This window comes from Homo sapiens, chromosome 3 (genome assembly GCF_000001405.40).
Source record: "Homo sapiens chromosome 3, GRCh38.p14 Primary Assembly".
Classification (NCBI taxonomy): domain Eukaryota; kingdom Metazoa; phylum Chordata; class Mammalia; order Primates; family Hominidae; genus Homo; species Homo sapiens.
In genome coordinates, this window is record NC_000003.12 from 151,391,040 (window position 1) to 151,415,892 (window position 24,853).

General features: G+C 36.8%; 1 protein-coding gene across 22 annotated transcripts in view, besides 1 other annotated feature; it reads left to right on the forward strand.

Moving 5' to 3' along the window:
• MED12L (mediator complex subunit 12L) overlaps positions 1-24,853 on the forward strand; it is a 350,990-nt gene that overhangs the window by 305,376 nt on the left and 20,761 nt on the right. For 8 of the 22 annotated variants that reach the window (XM_017005676.2, XM_017005677.2, XM_017005680.2 and 5 more), the window contains 5 exons: positions 3,617-3,828; positions 11,889-11,939; positions 18,204-18,293; positions 20,239-20,468; positions 22,100-22,256. In XM_017005676.2, coding sequence (XP_016861165.1) covers positions 3,617-3,828; positions 11,889-11,939; positions 18,204-18,293; positions 20,239-20,468; positions 22,100-22,256 — 740 coding nt within the window. Of the gene's footprint in view, positions 1-3,616; positions 3,829-4,422; positions 5,326-11,888; positions 11,940-18,203; positions 18,294-20,238; positions 20,469-22,099; positions 22,257-24,853 lie in introns of those variants that run through there. The other 14 variants (NM_001393769.1, XM_047447405.1, NM_053002.6 and 11 more) reach the window with 3 other exon arrangements.
• Positions 1,838-2,433: an enhancer, noted in NCBI's record as "OCT4-NANOG hESC enhancer chr3:151110665-151111260 (GRCh37/hg19 assembly coordinates)". NCBI's record gives its function as "activates a minimal SCP1, AML or CMV promoter by ChIP-STARR-seq in naive and primed H9 embryonic stem cells {active_cell/tissue: H9 hESC(naive and primed)}" and the evidence as "EXISTENCE:reporter gene assay evidence [ECO:0000049][PMID:30033119]".

Here is a 24,853-nt window from a genome sequence, read left to right on the forward strand (position 1 = left end):
CCATAGGGTGGGTGATTCAGTTATTTATTCAAGAATGTATTGAGCTTCATGATACAGTGGACCCAGTTTTGGATGCTAGGATATTGCAGTGACTAAAGTGTGCAAAATACCTACTTTTTAAAAGATGAAATAAAGTTTATGTTACACACACATACATATGTAAGATTTAAAAGTAAATTGTAATAGTTATATAGCCTTTTGAAGGTAGCCTGACCCCACAGACATGTTCAGTAAGTGATCTTCACATATTCCTAGCTCAGGGCATTTGTGCTTGCTGACCCCTGTGCCTGCAGTGCTCTCCCTCAAATATCTACATCACTTCCTGCCTGTCTCCGTTGGGCTTGGTCACATTACTTTCTCACTGGGGCCTTTACTAACCTGTTTTAAATTGTAGACCCATACCCCTTCCCTGTACCCTCTGTTTCTCTCTTTTTTCTGTTTCTCTGTTGCAAGCACATCCAATCTTTTGGCTTCCTTGGGCCACATTGGAAGAAGAATTGTCTTGGGCCACACATAAAATACACAAACAATAGGCGATCAACTACAAAAAAAAAGAATCACAAAAAAAACTCGTAATGTTTTAAGAACGTTTACAAATTTTTGTTGGGCTGCATACAAAGCCATCTTGGGCCGCATGCAGCACACAAGCCATGAGTTGGACAAGCTTGCTCTACAGCATCAGACTTGCTTATATCTTACTTTCTTATTGATTTATTATCTTCCCAGAATGTAAGCCTCGTGGCAGATATTTTTCCTATTATGTTCACTGCAGTATCCCCAGAACTTAGAGGAACCTCTGGCTTTATAGTAGGCTTTTAAAAATAGATTGTTGAGTGAATGAATATAGACTACAAACTAGACTCAGAGTGAAAAAGAAGGATGCAATCATCATCCTTTTAAACTTCCTCTTTTTAATGCCACGGTCCATGTGAATTTTTAGCCATTTTAAACTTTGGAGATGTAGAAGTTTGTTTGTAGATGTAGAAGTTTGTTTGTAGATATTTGACACACAAGGACTGTCTGTGAATTGAAAGCTAACTACTTTGTAAAAGCACATAATCTCTCCCTATAGAATACTATAGAAAGCTTTTTATAAACTGAGGAACTTTAGGTGTGAGATGGCATTTAAAAAATAAATTTTGGGCTGGGCACGGTGGCTGACACCTGTAATCCCAGCACTTTGGGAGGCCAAAGTGGGCAGATCACCTAAGGTCAGGAGTTAAAGACCAGCCTGGCCAATATGGTGAAACCCCGTATCTACTAAAAATACAAAAAACAAAATTAGCCAGGCATGGTGGTGCCTGAAATCCCAGCTGCTTGGGAGGCCAAAGCAGGAGAATAACTTGAACCTAGGAGGCAAAGGTTGCTTGAACTGAGATTGCATCATTGCACTCCACCCTGGGTGACAGAGCGAGACTCCATCTCAAGAAAAAAAAAAAAAAAAAAAAAAGTAAAAATAAATAAATAAATAAATTTTGAAAAAAATTATTTTTGAGGATTTATATGAGCAAATTTATTTTCATTTAAACAAGCACAATCTAAAGTTACAAGACAGTATGTACAGCATGATTCCATTCATATAGGGTTTAAATGCAAAACAATCTCCCACCATCACTCACATACAAAAACATATGTATCTTTCCTAATCTTTCTCATATATACACACCAGTATTATAAAGTTGTAAGGAAATGCATAGGATAGTAAACTCCAGATTCAGAGTAGCATTTGGTAGGAGTAAGTGAGGAAAGTAATTAGGTGTACAAAGGGCTTCAGCCATATTTGTAATATTTTATTCCAGTAGTTTCTCAGAGGTACAAGATCATAGAGTTAGGAAAATTTTTAAAAATTAGATTATAGTTTAATCTTTAAAAAGAATTTCCCTTTTCTGTAAATGAGTCTCTTTTTACATATCAATATACATAATTCTTAACACGTAATATATGTTCTGATTGTTGCTTCAATAGAAGTTACCCAGCCATGTGTTACTTAGATTGATCTTCTGTTTTTTTCCAAATGCTCTTCAAATGCTGCTGAATGACTTTGTAAATAGAAGAAGATGGCTGAGGCAAATCTCACTCATTTTAGAGGTTTCTTGTGCCAAGGTTGAGGACATGCCTGGGAGAAAGGAACACAGAATCACAGGAACATCTCTGCTTTTTCCAAAGAGGATTTGGGGGCTTCCGTATTTAAAGGGGAAAGAGTAGGCAGTAGGGGAAAGAAGAAAGAAAAAGAAGGGGAAGTAGATAAAAGGAGTAAGCAGTTTCATTCTTTAGAGGCTTTGATCAGCATTCCCTGAATCTACATTTTACATATGAAAGAAGCAGGTTAAAGGTTTAGTCAATTACGGTGTTGAATCTGCATTTTTACATAAGATTAAGTAAACATAGAGTAGAGGAAGAAGTCAAGTATATATTTGTCTCTGATAAGTGGAGGGATGACTTCTAGTTCTGTCCTGCTCCCCCACAACCCCCCCTCCCACCGTAAAGATAAGCTGTTAATTTTAGGGTAAATCTTTTGGAACCCACAAGGAATTTCCTTGTGAGCAAATTATGAGGGAGACCTCCTAGGGAGGTATATAGCCTTCTATCTTTGTAGCTATCTATTTAGGAAACAAACCAGGGGATAGTTTTGCATGACTCAGTTCCCAACATTGACTTTTACCTTTGTCATAGTGAGTTTGGTGTCCCAAGATTTTTAGTTTCCTTTCACAACTTCATAAATTGTATTGCTGATTGTGGCACTGAGTCTTTAAAAGAATGTGGGTTTTTCCAAAAAAACAGCTTTAAAATGTTTGTTTTCATCATACACCTTGCTTTATAGAAAAGATAAAACAACTTTTGTGAGGTGCTTATGTAGAGGTTTTTTTCATTTACATGTATCAAGGACTATTTTTGGTGAATGAAGAATTTACATTTATTGTGAAGCCAGCAAATGTCGACTTTTTTTTCCCTAACTTTTAAATGCGCGTGACAAATTATAATATACAAATATGTAAAGGATTTCCTGTGGTTTCTTAAGCATCGGTATAATAGTTGCTTGTTTATTTGATTTTTAGCCTTCAAAAAAGATGTTTTGTCATTACAATCATAGTACTTGAAGTTTGCAAGCATTTCAAGATTTTAAAGTATTTTCATGCCTCTGCTATAAAACAGGCATTTTCATTTTGCCATGGTGAAAAGACTTTAATGACATGAGCTTCAGATTTGATGAAAAGTACAAAAGGATTTATATGAATGGCTTAAGAACTTGGCAAAATACATCACAAAGGCAGTATGTTTTATACAAGTAATATGTTCCTGAGGGCCTTGCCTAATTTAAAACCCATGTAATTATGAAATTATGCCAACAACTGTATGTTTTACACATTTCAATTTATGAACTGAAGACCTCCATGAAATTAAAGTAGTATAATTCACTTCTACATCACTCCCCTCATCTTTTGTAAGTTATGCAACTCAACAGGTCTATAATATTTGTGGCAGGTGGGACAGTGCATTTTTTTCTACTTTGTTCATAAAGTGAGACTTAGAAGGTGAAATTTCTGTGTTTTGATACATAAAAAGACCTGTTGCATTAACGTAGTTAGAAAGTGTTTCCTTTTGGTTGCTTTTGTAGGTGGCTCCAGATTGGACCCTGCAGGCTCCTTTGTCCCAACCAACACCAAACAAGCTCTGTCAAACATGCTACAGCGGCGCTCAGGCGCCATGATGCAGCCGCCTTCTCTTCATGCAATCACATCGCAGCAGCAGTTGATACAGATGAAGCTTCTGCAGCAGCAGCAGCAACAGCGACTTCTCAGGCAAGCCCAGACTCGGCCTTTCCAACAGGTTTGTCCAGACCCCAGCAATGGAGTCCTTTGCATTTTATTACCTCTGCTAGCTTGGGATAAGTTTGGGATATGTAGCATATTCTTTCTGTATGCATATCCCTGTATACTTGTGTGAGTGCAGGTCTATCTCTCTGTTACAGGCTTGTAAATAGTTTTCCTCCATTGTACTTTACTGTTATCATTGCTCAAATAAGAATTTGATATGTCTTAGGTTTATTAAAAGTATACCTTAAAACAAAAAGAAGGGCTGATGACTTTTGGTCAATTAGAAGAAGCAGGCCTTTTATCCTTGAGGTGACCTTCTCTGAGCCCTCATTTTTCTATTATAATTACCACCATATTCTGTACTACTTTCAGCTCTTGTGTTCATGTATTATTTTTAGACTTATTACTGTGAGGTTATGTCTCTGAAGCCCTGATGTTTCCTAGGTTTTCTCTGATAGTGCCCTGCCTTTAATTTTTGTTTCTAGTGTATATTTAATAAGGTCTAGAGCAGATAAATTATAAACAACAGTCAGGATCTGGATACATTCAATTTAATTCTTGATTTATATTTCTATTTTTGTGGCCTATAACTCAATGTTCTTCATAGAAGACAGTGATCCATGTTTAAGAAAACATCAGCACTTAGTATAAACTCATGAAACACCTATGCGTCTGTACATTAAAATAAAGTGTGAGGTGAGAATGGGGATTTCTTTTTCTAGTTTCTGTATACTTGTATTTTCTAGCTTTTCTAAAATGGTCATGCAGTATTTTGATAATAATAGCTAACACTAATAGAGCACTTACTATATGCCAAAACATTTCTAAGCACTTTAGATGTATTAGCTATCTTAAGATACCAGGGTAACTCTATGAGTTAGGTACCTTCGTGATCCTCACATGGAAATAGCGAATCTACAGGTACATCCTGCTCTAAGAATAACCATAATACTTTCAACATAGCAAGAAATTCAAATGCTTTAAAAAATATTCTTTGTCTTTTGGATAACTTTCTAGGCATATCTCCGTTGTGTAATTTACGGCACTTCCTGCATTTGGGCCACTTAGTGATGATTTTGGTGGATGGTGATGGCAAGGTTAGTCATTATAAGGACAAGAGAGAAGAAACCAATTGAACTGTATGATGACGCAAGCAACAGTCATCACCATGTGCTTGTCTCTTCCTGACCTCTAACAATTAATTGCTTTAGCTCCCTGAGTGTCAGAAAGGATGAGTCTAAGCTGCTGCTTGCACATAAATGATGAACATTTGATTAAAATATGAAAAAAAATTATTTAATTTGCCTAAATAAGCAACATGTTTAGAGCCATTTAAAACCTCATTGGGATTTTTAGCTCTTTTTTGGGAATCAGCAAAAATAGAGTTATACTATTGCTTCAAATCATTTTTGAGTTAAAAAATTTCACTAGAAGTTGAAAAACCATCCCACTAGAATGAATTTAGCCCTCTTTCAAAGTAATAACGCCTAGGGCCAGGCGTGGTGGCTTACGCCTCTAATCCCATCACTTTTGGAGGCTGAGGCAGGTGGATCACTTGAGGTCAGGAGTTCAAGATCAACCTGGCCAACATGGTGAAACTCTGTCTCTACTAAATACAAAAATTAGGCATGGTAGAGCATGCCACACTGTAGTCCCAGCTACTTGGGAGGCTGAGGCAGGAGAATTACTTGAACCTGGGAGGTGGAGTTTGCAGTGAGCCGAGATCACGCCACTGCACTCCAGCCCGGTCAACAGAGTGAGACTCCGTCTCAAGAAAAATAAATAAAATAATAAATAAAGTAAAGTAAAACTTGCCACTTTAATTCATTTTTTCATATCTACCTTTTTATCACAAGGCATAGTTTTTCTTATTTATAGCCCACTTTCAAACTGTTACTGCCAAATTAACTTTGAAGTACTTGTTAAGTTGTTCCTAGCACTAGGGAAAAGCCCACTGGGCCATTATGGGTAAATATACCTGTTTTTAAAAGGTTCACTTCCTGATATAAGCCATGACAAACGATTTCAGCTAGAAATTTTTTTAAAGCATTTAATTGAATAATCTACATGTAATCAAAGATATCCTTGCATATTTGGGGAAGTGTACCTTGATGACACCATTACTTTTCTTTCTCCTACCAAAAATACCTGGCTGTATCCTTTTGTACCACCGACAGTTGTACTGCTTGTACCAATGGGAATTAATTGTGATTTCATTCTTTTTCTGATTCTTTTGTGCTAACTCCATTACAGTGTTGGATTTTTTTTCTTTATTCTTCTCTTTTTAAACTTTTAAGACCAGAAATGCCATCTTCAAATAGTAAAAGCTCCACTTCATAACAGTGATTGTACAGTATTCACCTCTTCATCTCAGACTCACTTCATATTGTTTTTAACAGTTGAAACTTAACTATGGAGTCTCTGAAGGGCTTTCACAAGTAGGATATGTCTTTTTCTCTCATCATTCTTCAAGTGTTAGATAATTGAGGAAAATAGTATTCTTAAAGGAAGAGAAATGCATACATTATGCAGTCACGATGTACAGTGATCCTGTAGTACATCGAGCTAATGAGATTTGCATGTAGCATCCGTCATGGTACCTGTACTTAGGAGGTTCTGAGGAAATGTTAGTGCCTTTCCTCTCAATAGATCATGTATAAGCTATTAATATAACTGGAATTTAGCAAATATGGTCTTATGGCAGAAAAAAATTCTTCTGATAATCCTTCAAAATCTAAAGACAGAATTATATGGAATGTAAGCAATATTGATCAATTGTTTTAATATCTGTTGCTGGGCACAGTTTGCTTTTCTAGTGAGTACTGACCATTTCGTGCTATGGCAGGAAGATTTTCTCAGGTTACTCACCCACATATGATATGAATTTCTCTAGCTACATAAGGACTAATAATATAGTTACTTTTTCATTTTTTGGCTTCTTGTAGAGAAAAGTAAGTAGATATGTTTTTATTCCAGAGGTCCATTTTCTTAAATATAACAAACATATTAGAGAATTTCCATTTATATTAACCTTCAAAACTGATTTTGGAATTCAGCAGATGCTTTTATAGGCTGATGAGTTTCTCCAGGTTTTGGATGTGACTGCTTCCTACGACAGTTTTCTAGTAACCCACTGGTTACCCCCTTTTCTTATGAGGTCAGACACTGGGCTGTATACTATTTTGTATTATCCTTTCATCTGCTAAGCACACGGTACAATCTGTGAGCTGTGTATCAAATGAATAATGTAAGATTTGAACAGTTGCTTCCAGGAGCCTAAAGTTTCTTAGTAGCCTTAATCCTCAGCATTCTGATTTTTATCCACACACCCTTCTCATAGCTTTCCCTTCCAGTGCTTCCAGAAACTGACCCTTCTAGTGACGTCTGCTACAGTTGTTTTGGAAACCTAAATGGGAAAGGTAAACATAAATTCCTGAACTCAGGATATATCTAAGACCTCACAGAGTCCCCTTATCCTCTTTCTGTCTAGTGGGGGAAGTTGGCATATGCAGAAACCATCCAGCCTTCAGTGATACACAATGAAAACTAGAATTCCATAAAATAACCCTCTAGTTCCACTGCAGAGATTGTACATGAGCTTCAGTCAGTCATGGAATATTCTGTCATGGATTGTCTTATATTTCCTCAGGAATGTGTTAAGACAGTGTTTAACACAGTACCTAGACAACAAGTGCTGAATAGCATGGATATTGTTAAGTATTTTAATGAGATTATTTGATGTAATAATTGTTATAATTGAGTATATTTCCCTATAGCTTTAGTGCATATGGACATGCAGAAAGATGTTTTGGCAAGAAACCTGTTTTCATTCTTCTTGGTTGCAGTCTTCATCTAGGAAAATACAGTAGTCCTATCACCCTGCTTATCCACAGGGAATATGTTGTAAGACCTTCAGTGATTGCTGAAACCACAGAGGACCAAACCTGATATGGACCATGTTTTTTCCTATGTATAGGTACCTATATGATAAAGTTTAATTTATAAATTAGGCTCAGTAAGATACTAACAATATCTTACTAATAGTAAAATAGAACAATTATACTGTAACAAACATGTAAATGTCGTCTTTTTCAAAATCCCTTACTGTGCTGTACTCACCTGTTTTCGGACTGCAGTTTTCTGCAGGTAACTGAAACTGTGGGAAGTGAAACCGCAGAGAAGTGGCGACTACTGAAAAAAAAGAACTATTTCTATTTCTTACTCAATATCCTGTATTTAGATGGGACTCAGTACAATGGTTACACTATCTTTCTGTGCCTCAGAGTCCCATCTATAAACTGGAGCTAATACTATACTGTACTTACTTTATAGGGTAGTTGTGAAGTTAATGATTAAGTATGTGTAAAACAGCCCTTAGAACAGTGGATGGCTCATAGTAAGTGCTCAAAAAGTGTTAGCTGTCATACTTATCGTTGCTGCTTATTAGTATTTTTATGGTTTGTTATTTCAAAAGAAATTCATTTCCCATAACAATATTATTTTCTTAAATATGTTAAGCTTTAAAATAAAAGCATATCAAATGGTTTACTTGTATAATTACATAAATTGCCATTAATAGGATTGGTTTAATCCTCATTTGCTTAGTGGTTACCAATAGAACAAACTCATAAAAAGGAATGTTGTTTTGTCATCCTAATTGTCATTTTAGCTTCTTAGAGTGGTGTGTTTTTGTTCTTTAAATACTGTGATACTTGAGAGACTTATTCCAATCTCAGTGTTAAAAGTATCACTGTATTTTATTTTTCACATATTCTGTTAGAACTATCACAGAATATAGAATATTGGTTATAATGCAAAATGCTGCTTTAATTATTTTCCACTCATTCCTTTCTTATACTCGGTATTTTTCTTTTGACAACAGGAACTTTTTTTCAGCTCACCTCACCATCCCCCTCACTCTATCGATCATCTAGGGAAGGAGCTTGCAGAAGGAATCTTAAGGAATTCCTTCTTTCTTTTTTTTTTTCTTGAGACAGGGTCTCCCTCTGTCGCCCAGGCTGGAGTGCAGCGGCCTAATCTCCGCTCATTGCAACCTCTGCTTCCCGGGTTCAAGCGATTCTCCTGCCTCAGCCTCCCGAGTAGCTGGGACTACAGGCATGCACCACCCCGCCTGGCTGATTTTTGTATTTGTAATAGAGACAGTGTTTTACCATGTTGGCCAGGCTGGTCTCGAACTCCTGACCTCAGGTGATCCACCTGTCTCGACCTCCTATAGTGCTGGGATTATAGGCGCGAGCCACCGCGCCAGGCCTTAAGGAACTTTCATACCCCTCACAATATCGACATCTAGGGAAGGGGCTTGCAGAAGCAATCTAAAGTTTTGACCCAGGAAAAGAACTTTATGCCTTGATTTATGGTGTTGCTTTATCCTGATTTTTTCTTTCAGTATATTAAATTATTTTATTTTTCTTTGTAATAATTCCAGACAGCATATTTTCAAGAGTCCAAAGAAGGATAGACAGAAGATATGTTTAGCTTGAATTGATTCAGACAAATTGGTTAAAAAATGCACTTGGTTATAGGCTCCATACAGATCATTAATCATAAGGATTTTTCAGGACAGAAAAGAGGAAGCTTCCTTTCAGAGGACAGGAATGTGTGCCCAGTTATAGCTAGTATATGTAGCGACCAGTACATGTAGCGACTTGTAAAGAGGTTAGGTTATCCACCGTGGAGCAGGTCCCATCATTTGTGTATCCAAATCAAGGAAATAGGTAATTTAAAGAATGAAGGATGACTGAGTCAGAACCTCCCAGAGCTGTTAGCTCCTTGGCAAAAATGAATCTGTGACTTCATGGGAACATGCTCTTGGATTACCATTTAAATTGAGTAATTACCCTTTGTTCGGTAATTGATCTCCCACCCTAAGGAAATGGTATCACCTTGGAATATGTTTATTTTCTCTATCCCTCCCACTCACTCTTTAATGGTATACATATTTCAAGCATAGAGACGAGAATAGAAAAAATGTAATAATCACTAATGCACTTACTAGCTTTATTAAATAATATTCTTCCATAATGCTGTAGATTATTTTTTTAAAAAAAATTACAGATGTGGATGAGTCTCCTTGTATCATCATTTCCCTCCCTTCTTCTAAAGTGGGAATCCCCATCATGATTTAGCATTTTACTTTCTTATGCATGTTTTTATACTTCTAATCTATACGTTTGCATCCATCAACATAAACATTGTACAGTATTACTTTGTAGATTTGAAATGTTACGTAAATGTTCTCACACGTGTTGTATTATTTTGCGGCTTTTTTGTAGCTAATTTAATTATTTCTACTTTATGTAGTTATATTCATTCATTTATCCTGTTGGATGTTATTTCATTACGAATATTAATATGTTATTTATTCATTCTGTTGATGGTCATTTAATTTATTCAGTTTTTTTGTTTGTTTTTTTTTTTAACTGTTAACTGTTACAGTAAACATTCTTTTACATTTCTTCTATACATGTGGAAAGTTTTAGGGTGTGTACCTGAACATGGAAATGCTGATTGATTTTGAAAGTGGTGGTGATTCCTCTTAGAATAGTATATGAGCATTTTTCTTTCTCCATATTCCCACCAATGCTTGGTGTTATCAGACCTTATTTTTCTCAATCAGAGCAGGTGAAATGGTATTATATTATGACATCTTAATTTGCATTGTCCTGATTACCTGTGAGTTTAACCATTTTTTATAACTTTGCTAGCTATTCAGGTTTTCCCTTTTGTAAATTTCCTGATCATATAAATAGAGCATATTTCAAATGATAGTCTCATTTGTTAAAGGTAGGCAAAATAGTCTTGTTGAAACATATTTTGAGTATTGATAACTAATGTGTTTATTCAGAGGGTGTAATTAATATACATTTCAATGACAAAAATGAACTTAGGAGAAGAAAACCACTGTCCTGGTAAATATGTCCTAAACTCTATCATTTTGGTTTTTGGGTAGAAAGCATGTTCAGGGAGGTGGGTGCTTCACTTATTACTTATATCTGGTATTTCTCTGTTTATTTGAATGATGAGGAAGGTGCTGATTTTATTTGCTAAAATTATGATTAGGCAGATATAATGAGCTCGGAGATAGTGTTTGCAGCTTGATTTTTATGAGAGAGGGCAGAAGATTGGATGGAGGGGTGAGGAAATGAATCACCAATACAAGCATGGCAGCTGGATCTAAAGACCAATGTACAAATGCAATCAATTATGTACCTATATGTAAAATGGTGAGAATAGGTATTATTTGCCTGGGAAATTCCTCCTATACTTTCCAATCCTCAGTATAGTAAAATGCTTTTTCTATTATTGGTGAAATCCTTTGCTTCATCTCTATCTCCAGAACTCAGTGAGCTCAGGGAAATTTTTAACATCTCAGTAATATATCCTTTGGCATTTGAATATATAAATGATTTAGAAAGGGACTCATTTAGTTGAGAAATAGCAATTTTCCCCAGGTATTCAGTTGACTTTTCCTAAATCAGATTACCTTTTAGTGTGCAAACAGTGGTCGCACTATAAATATTTGCTGTCTACTGTGATTGGTTGAATGTGTGGTTAATCTGATGATCTCTTCTTACTTGGATTTACTGGGGATGGGGCTAATTACATCCTTCAAGAACATATGGCCTGCTGACTTGTTTACTTAATGTCTTGTCTGCTTAATGTGACCCACATGTCCTGAGCTCCCCCACTGGCCCTAGGGCGGGAAGGACCCTAGCCCCTTGTTGGTCACATGGGGGTTCCAAAGCCCCTTAGTTGCAGCACGTTTTGGTGTCTGATATCTCCTCTACTTCCTTTATGTCACCATTTAACCTCCATGTTGTGCTATTCTAGTATATGAATATCACCATATTGTTTATCAGTGTTGCAGTCTGTAGTGAGGATGTTTGACATATGAATTAATAAAACCCTTATAGGGCCTATGTTTTTAAGTCTTGACTTCCTGCAACATTGTTTTAAATGAAATAGTTCATATGTATTTTGGCTACCCACGTCATTAGGCTAAAAAATCTTATCTGTATTGTCTGCCATTTTCTTGCTGTCCCCTTTCTGTAGGACTTCTGTAACTCTGCTGTCTCCCTTCTGGAAGACTTTGACAACATAATGGTAACACCCCTGCTGTCATTCCTTCCTTTTTCTTTCTTTTCTTTTTTCTTTTTTTTTTTAATAAATTTTTATAGCATTGCCCTTTGAACGTCAAAATGAGAAGCAGGTTTTTCTGTAGCTGGTAATAATTATAGTCTTCATTTCACTGTTAACTCGGTTTATGTTTGAGACTGTAACACAGAATCATGAATGCATTGACCATGTTTAATTTAATGGAAGTTTTTTTCTGAAAATGCACCCCTTTGATCGCCTCATGATTTCCATCATATACATCTATGGTATAGAAACCAATAGACATTCATGGCCTGGGCTTGGGAACATAGACCAGTTCGTGCACCTTCATCTCAGTCCCAGTTTTGAACCTGTCTATTCCTGAGCTCTTGCTTCTCTCTGTGGTAATTTATATCATTAGTAGAGGAATGCATGGCATGCTGATTCATAGGCCAATGCAAGATAATGAAAACTGTGGTTATGAAACTTACCCTCTCATCACATCCCACTCACTGGCTATTCCCAAAATCTCAACGGAACACATCATCTCTATTTTCTTTCCAGTATGGAGAAGATTTTTTTTTGAGCATAGGTCTTGTGCATGCATGTCATAAGACTTCATCTCTACTGCTTTGCCTGGGCTAGCTAAGAATGCATGTTTTGCATTAAATTACTTATAGGTTTCTGTATCAGGTAGCCAACCCACAACATAAACCCAAGAAGCATTAGAATAAAAAAGAGCACACATCTCAGATGTGACTGTAAGTTAACTTGTTTCACTGCCATTTTAATGGGTAACATTATCTATACATTGATAAAGATATCCTTAACTGCATATTCAAACTTTGAAAATATTTAGGTTATTTAATACTTGTTGTATAAGCATTTTCTCCAATAGTTATTTCAGCAAAGGAAAGCTTGGAAACTTTTCTGAAAAGACTCAGTTTTTCTTGACAGTTTATGGTATTCAGGGGGCAGGTGAGGATTTTATTGAAAAACTTGAGTTAAACTATGAAGTTCAAAAATGTTTTGGAGACAGCTTATGTTTGCTATAGGGCATTGTTTATTATTCAGGTGATAATGTAATTCAGATAGAAAACAATTTGCATCAATCACTGGCTTTTTAAAAAATGTTTTTATTGACAGCTATTTTATGTATAAGTATTTAAAGTCAAAAGAAGGTTCCGTGATTTCTATATTAATTCAAAGTAATGAAAATGTGTATTTTTGCTATCCATTTTACCACTCTTATTTTTCTATAATATTCTGCTTTCTTAGGAAGTTAATGAATCTATACTCAATCAGTTCTTATAATATATGGACATGCTAAAATCATAAAGGTTCATTACTGTATGGGATGTGTTTGTTTTAGAATGAATCAGACTATTCTAGCAGTTAGTTACTGTTCATTGATTCCCAACCAAGTCGTATTTGAGGTGAAAACTTTTAAAAGTATCAAGCATAACTAGCCAACAAGACCTCTTATAATTTAGAATTTCCTCTCTCTGTTGTCTGCAGTTGAAATAAACCAGTATGATGTAATGACCACAACTTCTGGTTCATACCATGTGGTGTTTTAGCCTAAAGCACTCAGTAACTTCCAAACTAGGAGTTATAAATAAAACCCTTTCTGCTAGGTGACTTGTAAAACATTACCCACTGGTTTTTGTTATGTGCCTTTTATTACTTTTTTCCAAATCAGTATTTCCAGAAACCAAGTCACAAAATCTGGCTGTGGTTTTTATAGATATAACTTGTCTCTCTACTTGTAACCCTTAAACACTACTGAAAAATTACTAAATAAGGATTTGAATCATTACTAGTAAATTGAGTGGATAGGAAACTCCTGATTCTAAAATGCTCTGATTATAATCCTTACTGATTGCTAATTGGAGGTATAACCAGTCCTACATGAAAAGGAGATCTTCACATTTTCTCATTTGATTGAGGGTGTAGTTGCTAATACAGATCAGATTAAGACACAGAAGAATGAAAATTATGTTCGAGGATCATTAAAAATTTAAAACTTATCGGATGCATTCATTTCAAATTATGCCAAAAGCCTTTGAGTCAACATCTCTTTGAGCTCACATACTTCTGTCTAATTAAAAAATACAGCAGTAAGAGAGAGAACTCTTCTTATAAAGGTTAGGAAGATAGGTCAGTATTGAACAGCACAGCTTCTTTAGAAGTTTTTTAAAAATGGAAATTTTAGAAAGTACATATTTATTTAATGTTATATTTTGTTTATAGAGGTAAGCCCAAAGCAGAGTGCATGAAAATGAAGTAAAGAGACCATGTGTAGGAATTTACCTCAGGTAGCAATGTAGAGATGGGCTTATACAATTATTAGACTGTCCCAGTTCTCTGTAGATCATTCCCTTTGCACATACAAGTCAGGTATCTGAGCCATGGAAGCTTGAGCAGGGAACAAATATCTTATTCTCTCTTACTGATATGCTTAAAATCACATAGCACCTGCCTAGACACAAATATGCCACCAAAAACCATCTTCCTGCAGGCTGGATGCAGTGGCTCATACCTATAATCCCAACACTTTAGGAGGCCAAGGTTGGAGGATCTCTTGAGTCCAGGAATTTGAGGCCGCAGTGAAGTATGATCTTGCCACTGCACTACAGCCTTGGCAACAAAGTGAGATGCTGTCTCACTTTGTGTTTCACATAAACAAAAACAAACAAATCATGTTCCCATATAGTTCTCTCCATGCATTAAAAAATATGAAGTTAAAGTGGCCTCAGTTGTTTTGGTTGAGCAGAATAAATAGGGAGAAATTAAGTTACTCTTCAGATACTAATGCTGGCAGGAAGAAGAAATCATTAGAATGATAGATGCTAAACATTAAATTAAATTTGAGTTTTCAAAAGATGGAGCTGACAACTGTGAAGCAATTAGAAAGCACTTGGTAAAGTAATTGATGCTCAAACATAAATCCTAATTTGCCTCTGGATTTCTTGGTTAACAGATAAACTAAATTAAATCTTAGTTATTCTGAACAGATATTTACTGAGCACTTACTATATGTGCTAGGCACTAATTAAAAATAAAGCTTAAAAATTTTTCAGAAATTAACAGATAACTAAGGTGACCAGATGTCCTGATTTGCCAGGCATGGTCTCACTTTGCCCTCTTGCCCTGTCTTGTCCTAGTTTGGATGACATGTTAGATAGTCTGTTCTTGGTTTAATGTGGCCAAACCCATGCCTACCAACATTTAAAAGTTTTTTTACTAATTCTCAGTCTCTAGTTTCCTTTATTATTCCCACATTGTGGTTCTTATTTAACATTTGTAAAATATTTCAAGTTATTAAAGAACTTATTCATTCTGTTCTCAACTAATTGAACTGTTTCTACAAATTGAAATAATGTGTTCCTGACATTATTCTTGGAAAAACAAAGAAAAGTAGGAATCCATTTCATTCTGATAGGAGAGATTAGGGTGTTTTCTTTTTAGGAGCACATGATGATAACAGCTATGCCTGGCAAAATTGGGAAGTGCTAGTCAAATAGGGATGTTTGTGATTTTCTCAGGGAGAATATTGCATATCTGAATTATTTTCCATACTTAAGTAGTATGTTGGGACAAACTGGTGGTCAGGAGGAAACATAATATGCTCACATATAAATAGTTCACCTTTAGACATAAAGGTGGAAAATGTTAGGGTGTGTACCTGAACATGGTATAAAACTATATACAAAAACTATATTTCCATTTGTATTTCTTTTTCCTTTTAAAAGTATGGCACAATTTTCTGAATGTTTTGTGATTTTTAAAAATGTAGAATAATAGTTTTCAGTTTCCATTTCTTCTTCTTCTTTTTTTTTTTTTTTTGAGATAGGGTCTCATTCTGGTGCCCAGGCTGGAGTGCAGTGGCACGATCTTGGCTCACTGCAACCTCTGCCTCCCAGGCCAAGGAATCCTCTCACCTCAACCTTCCAAGTAGCTGAGACTACAGGCACGTGTCAGCACATCCAGCTAATTTTTTGTATTTTTTGTAGAGATCAGATTTCACCATGTTGCCCAGGCTGGTCTCGAACTGCTGGGCTCAGGTGATTCACCCGCCTCGGCCTCCCAAAATGCTGAGATTAGAGGCGTGAGCCACCGCACCTGCCCAGTTCCTATTTCTTAAATTCCCATGATCTCAACTAATATATGTAAATAAGAATATTGCCCAATAGCTCAGATATATACCTTATTAGTATTCTAGCTCCCCCCACCATGTAAGTCATAATGTGTTTCATAAAGTTCTTCAATAAAAGCAAAAGAAGAGCGAAGAGTTAGAAAACATCTGCTTTATGCATCTGAATGCAGCTGTCACATGCAGATCGCATTCTGCTTCCCACAAAGCCAAAAGAGGGCACGAGTGTTATAAACTACCTATAGATCCCTAGATTCTAACTCATATATAAATAGTTGATTTTTCTGTTTTGTAAAAATGGTAATATACATATATTTGTCTCTACAAAGAAGCACAACAGTATGTCTCAGGGACCTTGTATGATGCTAGTGTCCAGGAGTGGTCTTTAAGGATCTGGTTGATTTAATTATTCCTTGGCATAGTGTTTGGAGGATCAAGAGCCATTTGGATTCTTTGGGAAGAACAGTTTTAGGCTCCTGATGGTCATACTGTCATGGTATGTGTTCTCACAGAGGAAGTTTGGGCTATATTTCTCTAACCCAAGCAAATGGAGATACAATTGTTTTTTTAACAGATTAATGAGTTAGAGACTAAGAGTATCTTCATGATAGCCTACTCTGAAAGTAAGATTCTTGTATGTATAAATACCCTCAGAGGTACACTCAAAAATTTATGTTTCATTCATGTGTAGATAGATAGTCACCTAGAGAGATGCTGAAGTTTCGTAAATGGCCACGTGATTTTTTTTGTGGGGATCAGAGAAAGGGCTTAACTGTCTTAGGTATGCATTTGGTTTTGGTATCTCATTAATAAGGCTTAATAGAGATTGTCCTTTTGGTTTTTCATTAGGATGATTTTAAGAGGCTATATGTCCTTAAATAATAAGCACCAAATAAGTATTTTCATCCTTAATGTCACACATGGAGGCATCTCATGATAATGGAAAGAGCCCTAGGCTTTCAAGTCAGACTTCCTGGAGTTTAGATCATGGCACTGCCAGGTCTTGCTGGGCAAGTTTGCTAAGTTGCTTAAGCTCTTTGAGCCTGGCTTTTCCTGTCTGAAGAAGATGAGAATGATGCTCCTTTCCTATAGGGTTCTTGTGAGAAAATGAGAGTAAGAACCAGAAGCCCAGCCTCTGAAATATGATCGATTCTTAATAATCGTTGATATCCTTCCTCTTAAGCTACATATTTATCCCTTTCTCCCTGCTAGAAATACCTACACTACTTTTCAAACACATTAAAATAGCTTTATGTAACTATAATTTAGCACTTTTTAAAATGAGAATCTCTGTTAAAGACAGTAGTAAAATAATCCTACAATAAATCTCATTCTTTACAATCAGTAAGTCCTGAAAAAAAAACAGAGTGGTAGGAAACTAGGATTATTTTTATGATTATTACTGCAAGCTTCCATGAAGTAACTTCTGCCACCAAAACATAAAACACACATACCATTGCTCTTGTGAATATATTTGTTTTCTTATGGCCAAAACATGTATTAGATTAAGATTGGTGAACAGATGTTAATTGGTTTTATTTTGCATTGTAGTTGGTTGGAATTATGTTTGCCATTAACTTACAAAATTTATCGACTATATTCTCATTGATTTTTAGAGTCATAGAAAGTACTAAATGTATTCCTTGAATATCTGGCTAAATAGGCAATTAGTAGGTCACTGTGAAGAAGCTTCATTAAAAAGTCATAAAAATTTTATATGCCACCGTGTGTCTGTACCACACGTTCTCTTCCCTTTATAGGCACTGGGTAGTGCAGCCCTGTGGTTCCAGATTTCACACTTAGTGGGACATTTATACCCTGGCATGTATTGGAAGCCAGCTGACAGCCTCTCTGCTGAGCAGACCATTGATAACTTAGGCTTGTATTTATGGCTTTGTTATCATTGGGAAAATCTGTAGTCTTCTTTGGAAGGAATAAGTTCAACAGTCTAAACACATAGGATATTGATGAGAAATAATATTTAATACATTTTGAAAATCTTTGAGTTCTTTATCCATGTAATGAGATTAGATGTGGGTTATTTGGATTATTAACCAGAAGCTCAAATCAAGCCCTTGCTGTTATGATCAAGAGTTTGCTTTGGCTTTGTTTTCCAGGGCCAGCCGGGGGACCAGGCTGCTCTCTTTGCTGCGCAAGCACGGCCCTCCCCTCAGCTCCCTCAGTATCCAGGGCTGCAGCAAGCACAGGTACCCACATTTGCTTTGTAGGTACTGACAGGATTTTCAAAGCTCTTTATTGGAGGTGGGAAATTAAGTAAATAGAATATATCAACTCCCTATAGGGTCTAGAACTTGATTACTTCTTCTACTTATAGATTATAATTGATATTTCAAAAAAGCATGATCAGGATTGTTGAAGTCTTAGGATTGATTAAGGAGCATAAAACATTCTAGAAAACCCTTTAAAAGTGTAAATTCAAACCTTTTATTAGTGATGATTATAGATATTGAAATACTTAACAATCCCAGAGTTACTTCTTTTATGTTATAATGTATAATGATGTAATTCAGTTTTGAAGTCATCATATTTGGGCTGGACTCAGTGGCTCATGCCTGTAATCTGCACTTTGAGAGGCCAAGGTGAGAGGATTGCTTCACCCCCAGAATTTGAGACCAGCCTGGGTAACATAGTGAGACTCAGTCTCTACAAAAGAAAATAAAAATTAAAAAATTAGCCAGGCGTGGTGGCATGCACCTATAGTCCCAGTTGCACGGGAGGCTAAAGTGGAGGATCGCTTGAGCTTGAGAGGTTGAGGTTGCAGTGAGCTGTGATCTGTTGCCTTGGGCAACAGAGCAAGACCCTGTCTCAAAATAAATAAATAAATAGAAATTGTCATATTCAAAGATAGCATCAATGAGGAATCATGGTAGAATAAGAAAATAACGGGGCTTGAAATCAGACTTTGGCACAGTTCCTAGCAACTTACTAGCTGTGTGACATTGTGTGAGTTACTTACTCTGAGCTTCGGTTTCCTTCTCTGTAAAATAGAGATGAAGTGTATGAGGACAACCTATGGAACAACCAGTGGAACTAACCTATGGAACTAACATAGTGCCTGATACACAATATAATGCAAATCTTGAGCTACTTTTACTAATAATTTTGCTATTTCTGTATTCGTATACTCTCACCCCATCCCTCTGGGAATCAGGAATGCAGGGGTGTTGGCAAGATTGCTAGTTGGATTGACAATTCAATCTATGTCCACAGCTGAAAGAAAAGCCCACATTGGCCTACACAGGCACTGCGTCCTTCAGCCTGGATCCATTCATGCTGCCTGCTAGAAGTTCATTATCCATTTCTCTGTCTTCCAAGTCAGAGGCATTAAACTACCTGAAAATGTGCTTTGAGGATTTGAAGAGCAATGTTGTTCTACCTTAATTAGCATTGTGTTCTATAAATTGTACCTAGTGATCCAACAGAACTTCAGGTTTCTCTTTTCCATAAGGTGACAATACACAAAGAACTAGGTACTTGTATATTAATATTCATTAGGTAAATTAAGTGTTCACATTATTAGTAGAGTGCCAAACTAGGTCCAGCCCGTACTAGAGGATAATGAACAGTTACCAATTGCACCATTCCTGGCTAAGGTATTAATAGTTTTTTGTTATTGTTTTGGAACTGGTTAGTTACTACACACACATTTATCAGACCTGAAGAGGTGTAGTCACATACTGGAAAAGTGTATTTCATTATTTTAATTTACATTTGAGCATGGGTAGCTTTTCTAATTTTGGAAATGATATTAATAATACTTCATCTGTTGAACTTTGGTGTCATCTGTGCACTGAAGATTTAGATGCTTGCCTGATTGTTTCTATATAGAAACATGCCCTTCTCTAAAAATAAGCAGCTAATCTTAAAAGCCAGTTTAACTAAATGAGGATTCATTTTTTTTAAGTTGACATTTCTGGTGAGTCATTACACAGCCAGATCATTCTGTGGCTTTTCTGACCATATTCCCTGCATCCAGGGTAGTCCTCCTCAAATTTTGAGTTATGAGAACCTTTGAAAACAGTGAATTTCAGGGGAGTCCTCATGGGTTTGTTTTTGCCCCATATATCGTAGTGATGGGAAAGCTAGGTGATAAGTTGAAACATTGACTTCTTCCCTTGTGCCTACCTGCAGACCATGCCACAGGGCTATACAATGTATGGGACACAGATGCCTTTGCAGCAGACATCGCAGCAGCAGGCTGGCAGTGTGGTCCTGTCTCCCAGCTATAACTCCAGAGCCTATCCGGCCGCACATTCCAACCCCGTGCTAATGGAAAGACTCAGACAGATTCAGCAGCAGCCGAGTGGCTATGTTCAGCAGCAGGCCTCGCCGTACCTGCAGCCCCTGACTGGCTCTCAGAGGTGATACATGTGGAAATGATGATGGCAATAATGAACAGTCACATTCTCGGGTTTCTTATGCTTCTTATAGGGCATGGTACTTTATCATTGTTTTTATGAGCTTGCATATTTGCAGATAATTTGCATTCTGTCATCTCGTTTTTAGTAGTATCCAGATAGAGGTTCAACATAAAGAATGCTCCATCTTGTTTATTTCATTAAAGATCCTTACAGTTTTGACTCATGTCTTCCAAGACATGAGTGTAACAGTCTTTACGTGATAGTGTGTTTGCTTCAGTGTTCTTTTTTTTCCTCTTCTTTTTTAAAAATTCTCTGAACATATCTAACAGAGAAAACTCTTGATTATTGTTAGGAATGCCTTACTACAATTTGTTGATTGGAGCAATAAAATGTGTGATTGCAATACTAATTGTGCATGGTGCACATGAGAGTTTTGTTATAACTTAGTTTCTACCTTTTCCACCTCAAAGATATTTGGCAAAACAGGATTATGATAGACTTTTTTCTGTTCTTGTTTAATTAGATCCCTTAGAGTGTATAACTGTACTGTCTGTTGTAGTAGCTGCCAGCCACCTGTGGCTGTTTAAATTTAGACTATTTAAAATTAAATTAATAATATAGTTCCTCAGTCACACTAGTCACATTTCAAGTGTTCAGTGGTAGCCAAATGTGGCCAGCAGGACTAGCTTCAATGGTGTGTGACGTGCACTGTGTTTAGAAGGGCCTGTGTTTAAAAAGGCTTCATGCTTAGTTTAATGCTCTGCAGTTTCTCTGTGGAAATTCTTACTAAGTTTTGATCAGGGAGCCTTGTGTTTTCGTTATTCACTGAGACCCCAAAATTATGCAGTTCGTTCTTGTGGCTAGTAGTTATCTTATTGGACAGCGCAGAGAGAAAACATTGCAGCCATCATAGAAAGTTCTGTTGGATAGTACTGTCTTAGCAGCATCATGTAAAACGTGTCCATCTAGTGGATAGCAGCACAGCTCCCATCTGTTACCATCAATGGCTGCATGACGACTCCAAGTAATCGCTCTTTGGAAAGTTAGCAAGGTTGATGGTAACACATTTGAGAAAATAGATATTTTGGATAATAATTTGGAAAATGTGCATTGTATGTACAATTTTTATAATAAATAGCAGCATAGCATGGCCCACAAACTTGAATTTCAAAGCCCAAAAGTTCTGGGTTCAAATCCCACCTGTGCCATTTGCTTTCTTAATAAGTTACCTCTAGCTCTGTTTTTTCATTTTTAAAGTAGGGATAACGAAACTGCTGACCTTAAAGGGCTCTCTGGTGGGGAGTAAATGAAGTAACACATTTCAGACCTTTAGTACAGTGCCTGCTTCAAAGTAAATGCTCAATTAATATTCCTCGTTGTTAAAAACTATTAAATGTTTAAAAAGTGATTTATTGCATGACTGCAATTTTACCTTAAGTCATGTGCTTGCTGTACTTTTTCAAGTGGTCACATCTATTATTTTAACCACTGGGCTTTAGTCTATTTGAATTGTGCAAAGGATTATTGAGCACTGATTGTTTCTTGGTTGGTGTATGTCATGTGCTGGTAGCACTGATTAAAAGTTTGACATTATGCTTGGGCCTGAACCAAGTTGCATTATTCTTTGCCAGACTGAACCATCAGGCTCTACAGCAGAGCCCTCTGGTGGGCGGGGGAATTGATGCTGTGCTGACTTCTGCACATCCAAACCTTCCCTCCGTGCCCCTGCCTCAGGATCCCATGAGACCCAGACAGCCGCAAGTTCGACAGCAGCAGAGACTCCTCCAGGTACGGGGCAGGGAGATGAGGGCAATGCCATCACCCTTCAGACAGTGCAAATATGCAACAGTCATAAAAAATGAAAAACACTATAGTTGTCAATTGCCAGATTCCAAGGATCCCTGTGGATTTGATGCTAGGAGCTACATTGGTACAATTTAGTTACAACTTGGCAAGAATTTTATTTTCTCTGTGTATCTACCAGGTTATGGGCAGAAGAGTACGTTTTGCAGAACATTCTTCCCATTTCACAAAGGTTTGGGAGGGCAGACGGATGCCTTTAATAGAGTTGGCCTCAGCTTACCCAGTCTCTGTTTAAGTAGGAGCCATGCAAATTTTTTAAAAGTGTCATAAATGTGAAAACAAAAAACTGAGCCATCCAGAGCTTTCATCAGATTCCTAGAGCATTCTGCAATCTAAAAACATTTCTATAACACCTCTGGTCTGATAAGGCTGTGAAATGGGAGGAACATAGACTGTTTCAAAGGATATTTCATCTTGTCTTTGTTAGAATCCAGAGAACTGTCATTCACTTATTTGATGTACATTTTAAGTCAGTTAGATAAAGGGTTCTTCCCCTTGATACATTTTTTTTTTTTTTTCCCCTTAAGACGGAGTCTCCCTCTGTCACCCAGGCTGGACAACCTCCACCTCCCGGGTTCAAGTGATTCTCCTGCCTCAGCCTCCTGAGTAGCAGGGATTACAGGCGCCCACCACCACCCCTGGCTAATTTTTTTGTATTTTTAGTAGAGACGGGTTTTTGCCATGTTGGCCAGGCTGGTCTCAAACTCCTGACCTCAAGTGATCCGCCCACCTCGGCCTCCCAAAGTGCTGGGATTACAGGTGTGAGCCACCACACGCAGCTTCCTTGATATGTTCTTGTTTCTGACTTGCTTATTTAAAAAATATAGGCCATTATGTTTACCTGTGTCATTTGTCTTCAATATTAACAAGCTTGTCCTATGTTATTGGACTGGAGATTTCCTAAGGAGACTGTACAGTGGGCTCTAATCTTATCAGCAGTCCAACTTGAGATACACACTTACTTTATATACTACCAAGAACAGAACACCAAAAATGAGGAATCTAGTAGAGCTGGAGTGCCCAAGGGCTGTACTCTCAACTCGGTATGAGGTCAGTGAGAAGTAAACCTGCCATGCAGAAAGGGACACAAAGGAGCTTGGATGTCTTATCCTTGACACTGGATAGAGGGGAGAAACAAATATCTCCCCTGAGCATTTGAACCACAAGCTCCGGTGGGTTTGAGTCTGAATTCAGTGTGATCCACAAAATTCTGGTTGGTAGTGCCCAGGTGACAGGCAAAAGCCAACACACCCTCTGGAACTGGGCTTCCCAATTATAAGATGCCATTAGTAGTAAGATGTCATTAGTTCCATCCCAATTTGTGACCTGTTAAAAATGTTAAAAAAAAAAAAAGTTGTATCACAAAATTGATAACATGTGGTAACCGATTAGGAGAGTATGGCCTTCAGATAGCAATCTCAGTCATTGTATAGATGTTGTTTCCAATGGTAAAAGCTCTCTAATCCTGTTTTGTCATGGAAATACTTATAGTACCTATCTCTTAAATATGTAGAAAGGATTAAATAAGAATATTCAAGTAAACCACTCATTTGATAATTTTACGATTAATGTTATGACTATTATCATTACTATGAGTACTCACTTTCTTAAATCATTTTTTCCAAGTTCTGAGGCTATGTTTCAGAATTTTTTAGGATTGATAATTTATATTTTGCTCTAGTTTAGAATTTCTCATTTCCAAATCACTGAGGAAAGTTACCACATTATTTGTTTACTTACCAGTTTTAAATCTTATGTTGGTGTTTTTCAAGGCTGCAAATACGGAAAGCCTTTTCTTATTAGACCATATGTACTTTTTATCCTAATTAGCATAATATGTCCTTCTGGTAATTTTTTCATCATCAACACATTCTTCCCTGGAGATAAGTGATTTGCTTCTACAACAGGATTATACTTCTTTTTTGGTGACTGGCCACCTCTGTAAAGGAAAAAGTTAATAATGATGAAGTTGGGTTAATTTTTCTTAGAAGAGGTTCTAGAGGGCTAACTGGAGAATCATATTGCAGTCATTGTGATTTGGGTCCAACTTGCGTTGTTCTTGTTGGGATCATGCTACCCAGACCTCTGCTAGGATTCCAGATCCATGAGCATTGTCACTTAGTGAGACATGCCATATGGCAATAGCTATTTATTAGTTGGCTGTAAAGCAGACCAGTAATTGAGGGGATAGTATGCAAACCAAGTTGGAAAAGTACAAAAGATGAAGAAATGTCTAGACTGTCATCATTATCAGGATGAAGTGTTTGGGTGGAGGAAATTTTAAAGGTCATTGAAACAAAACAAAACAACTATTAATATTTTTCTCTCCTCTGTGTCCCACCTTGTGGATGTCTGGTCTGTGCTTTTTCTGTGACTTGGAAGCATTTTCCAAGAGCTGTGTGTTTGAGCCAACCCTGTTACTGACATGATTTCTGAATTTCTGATGTAAATTATGCCAGAAGGTGTCATGGCGACTAGTCTGCCTCTTCCTTTTGGAAAAAAACAAAAAACAAAAAAAAACC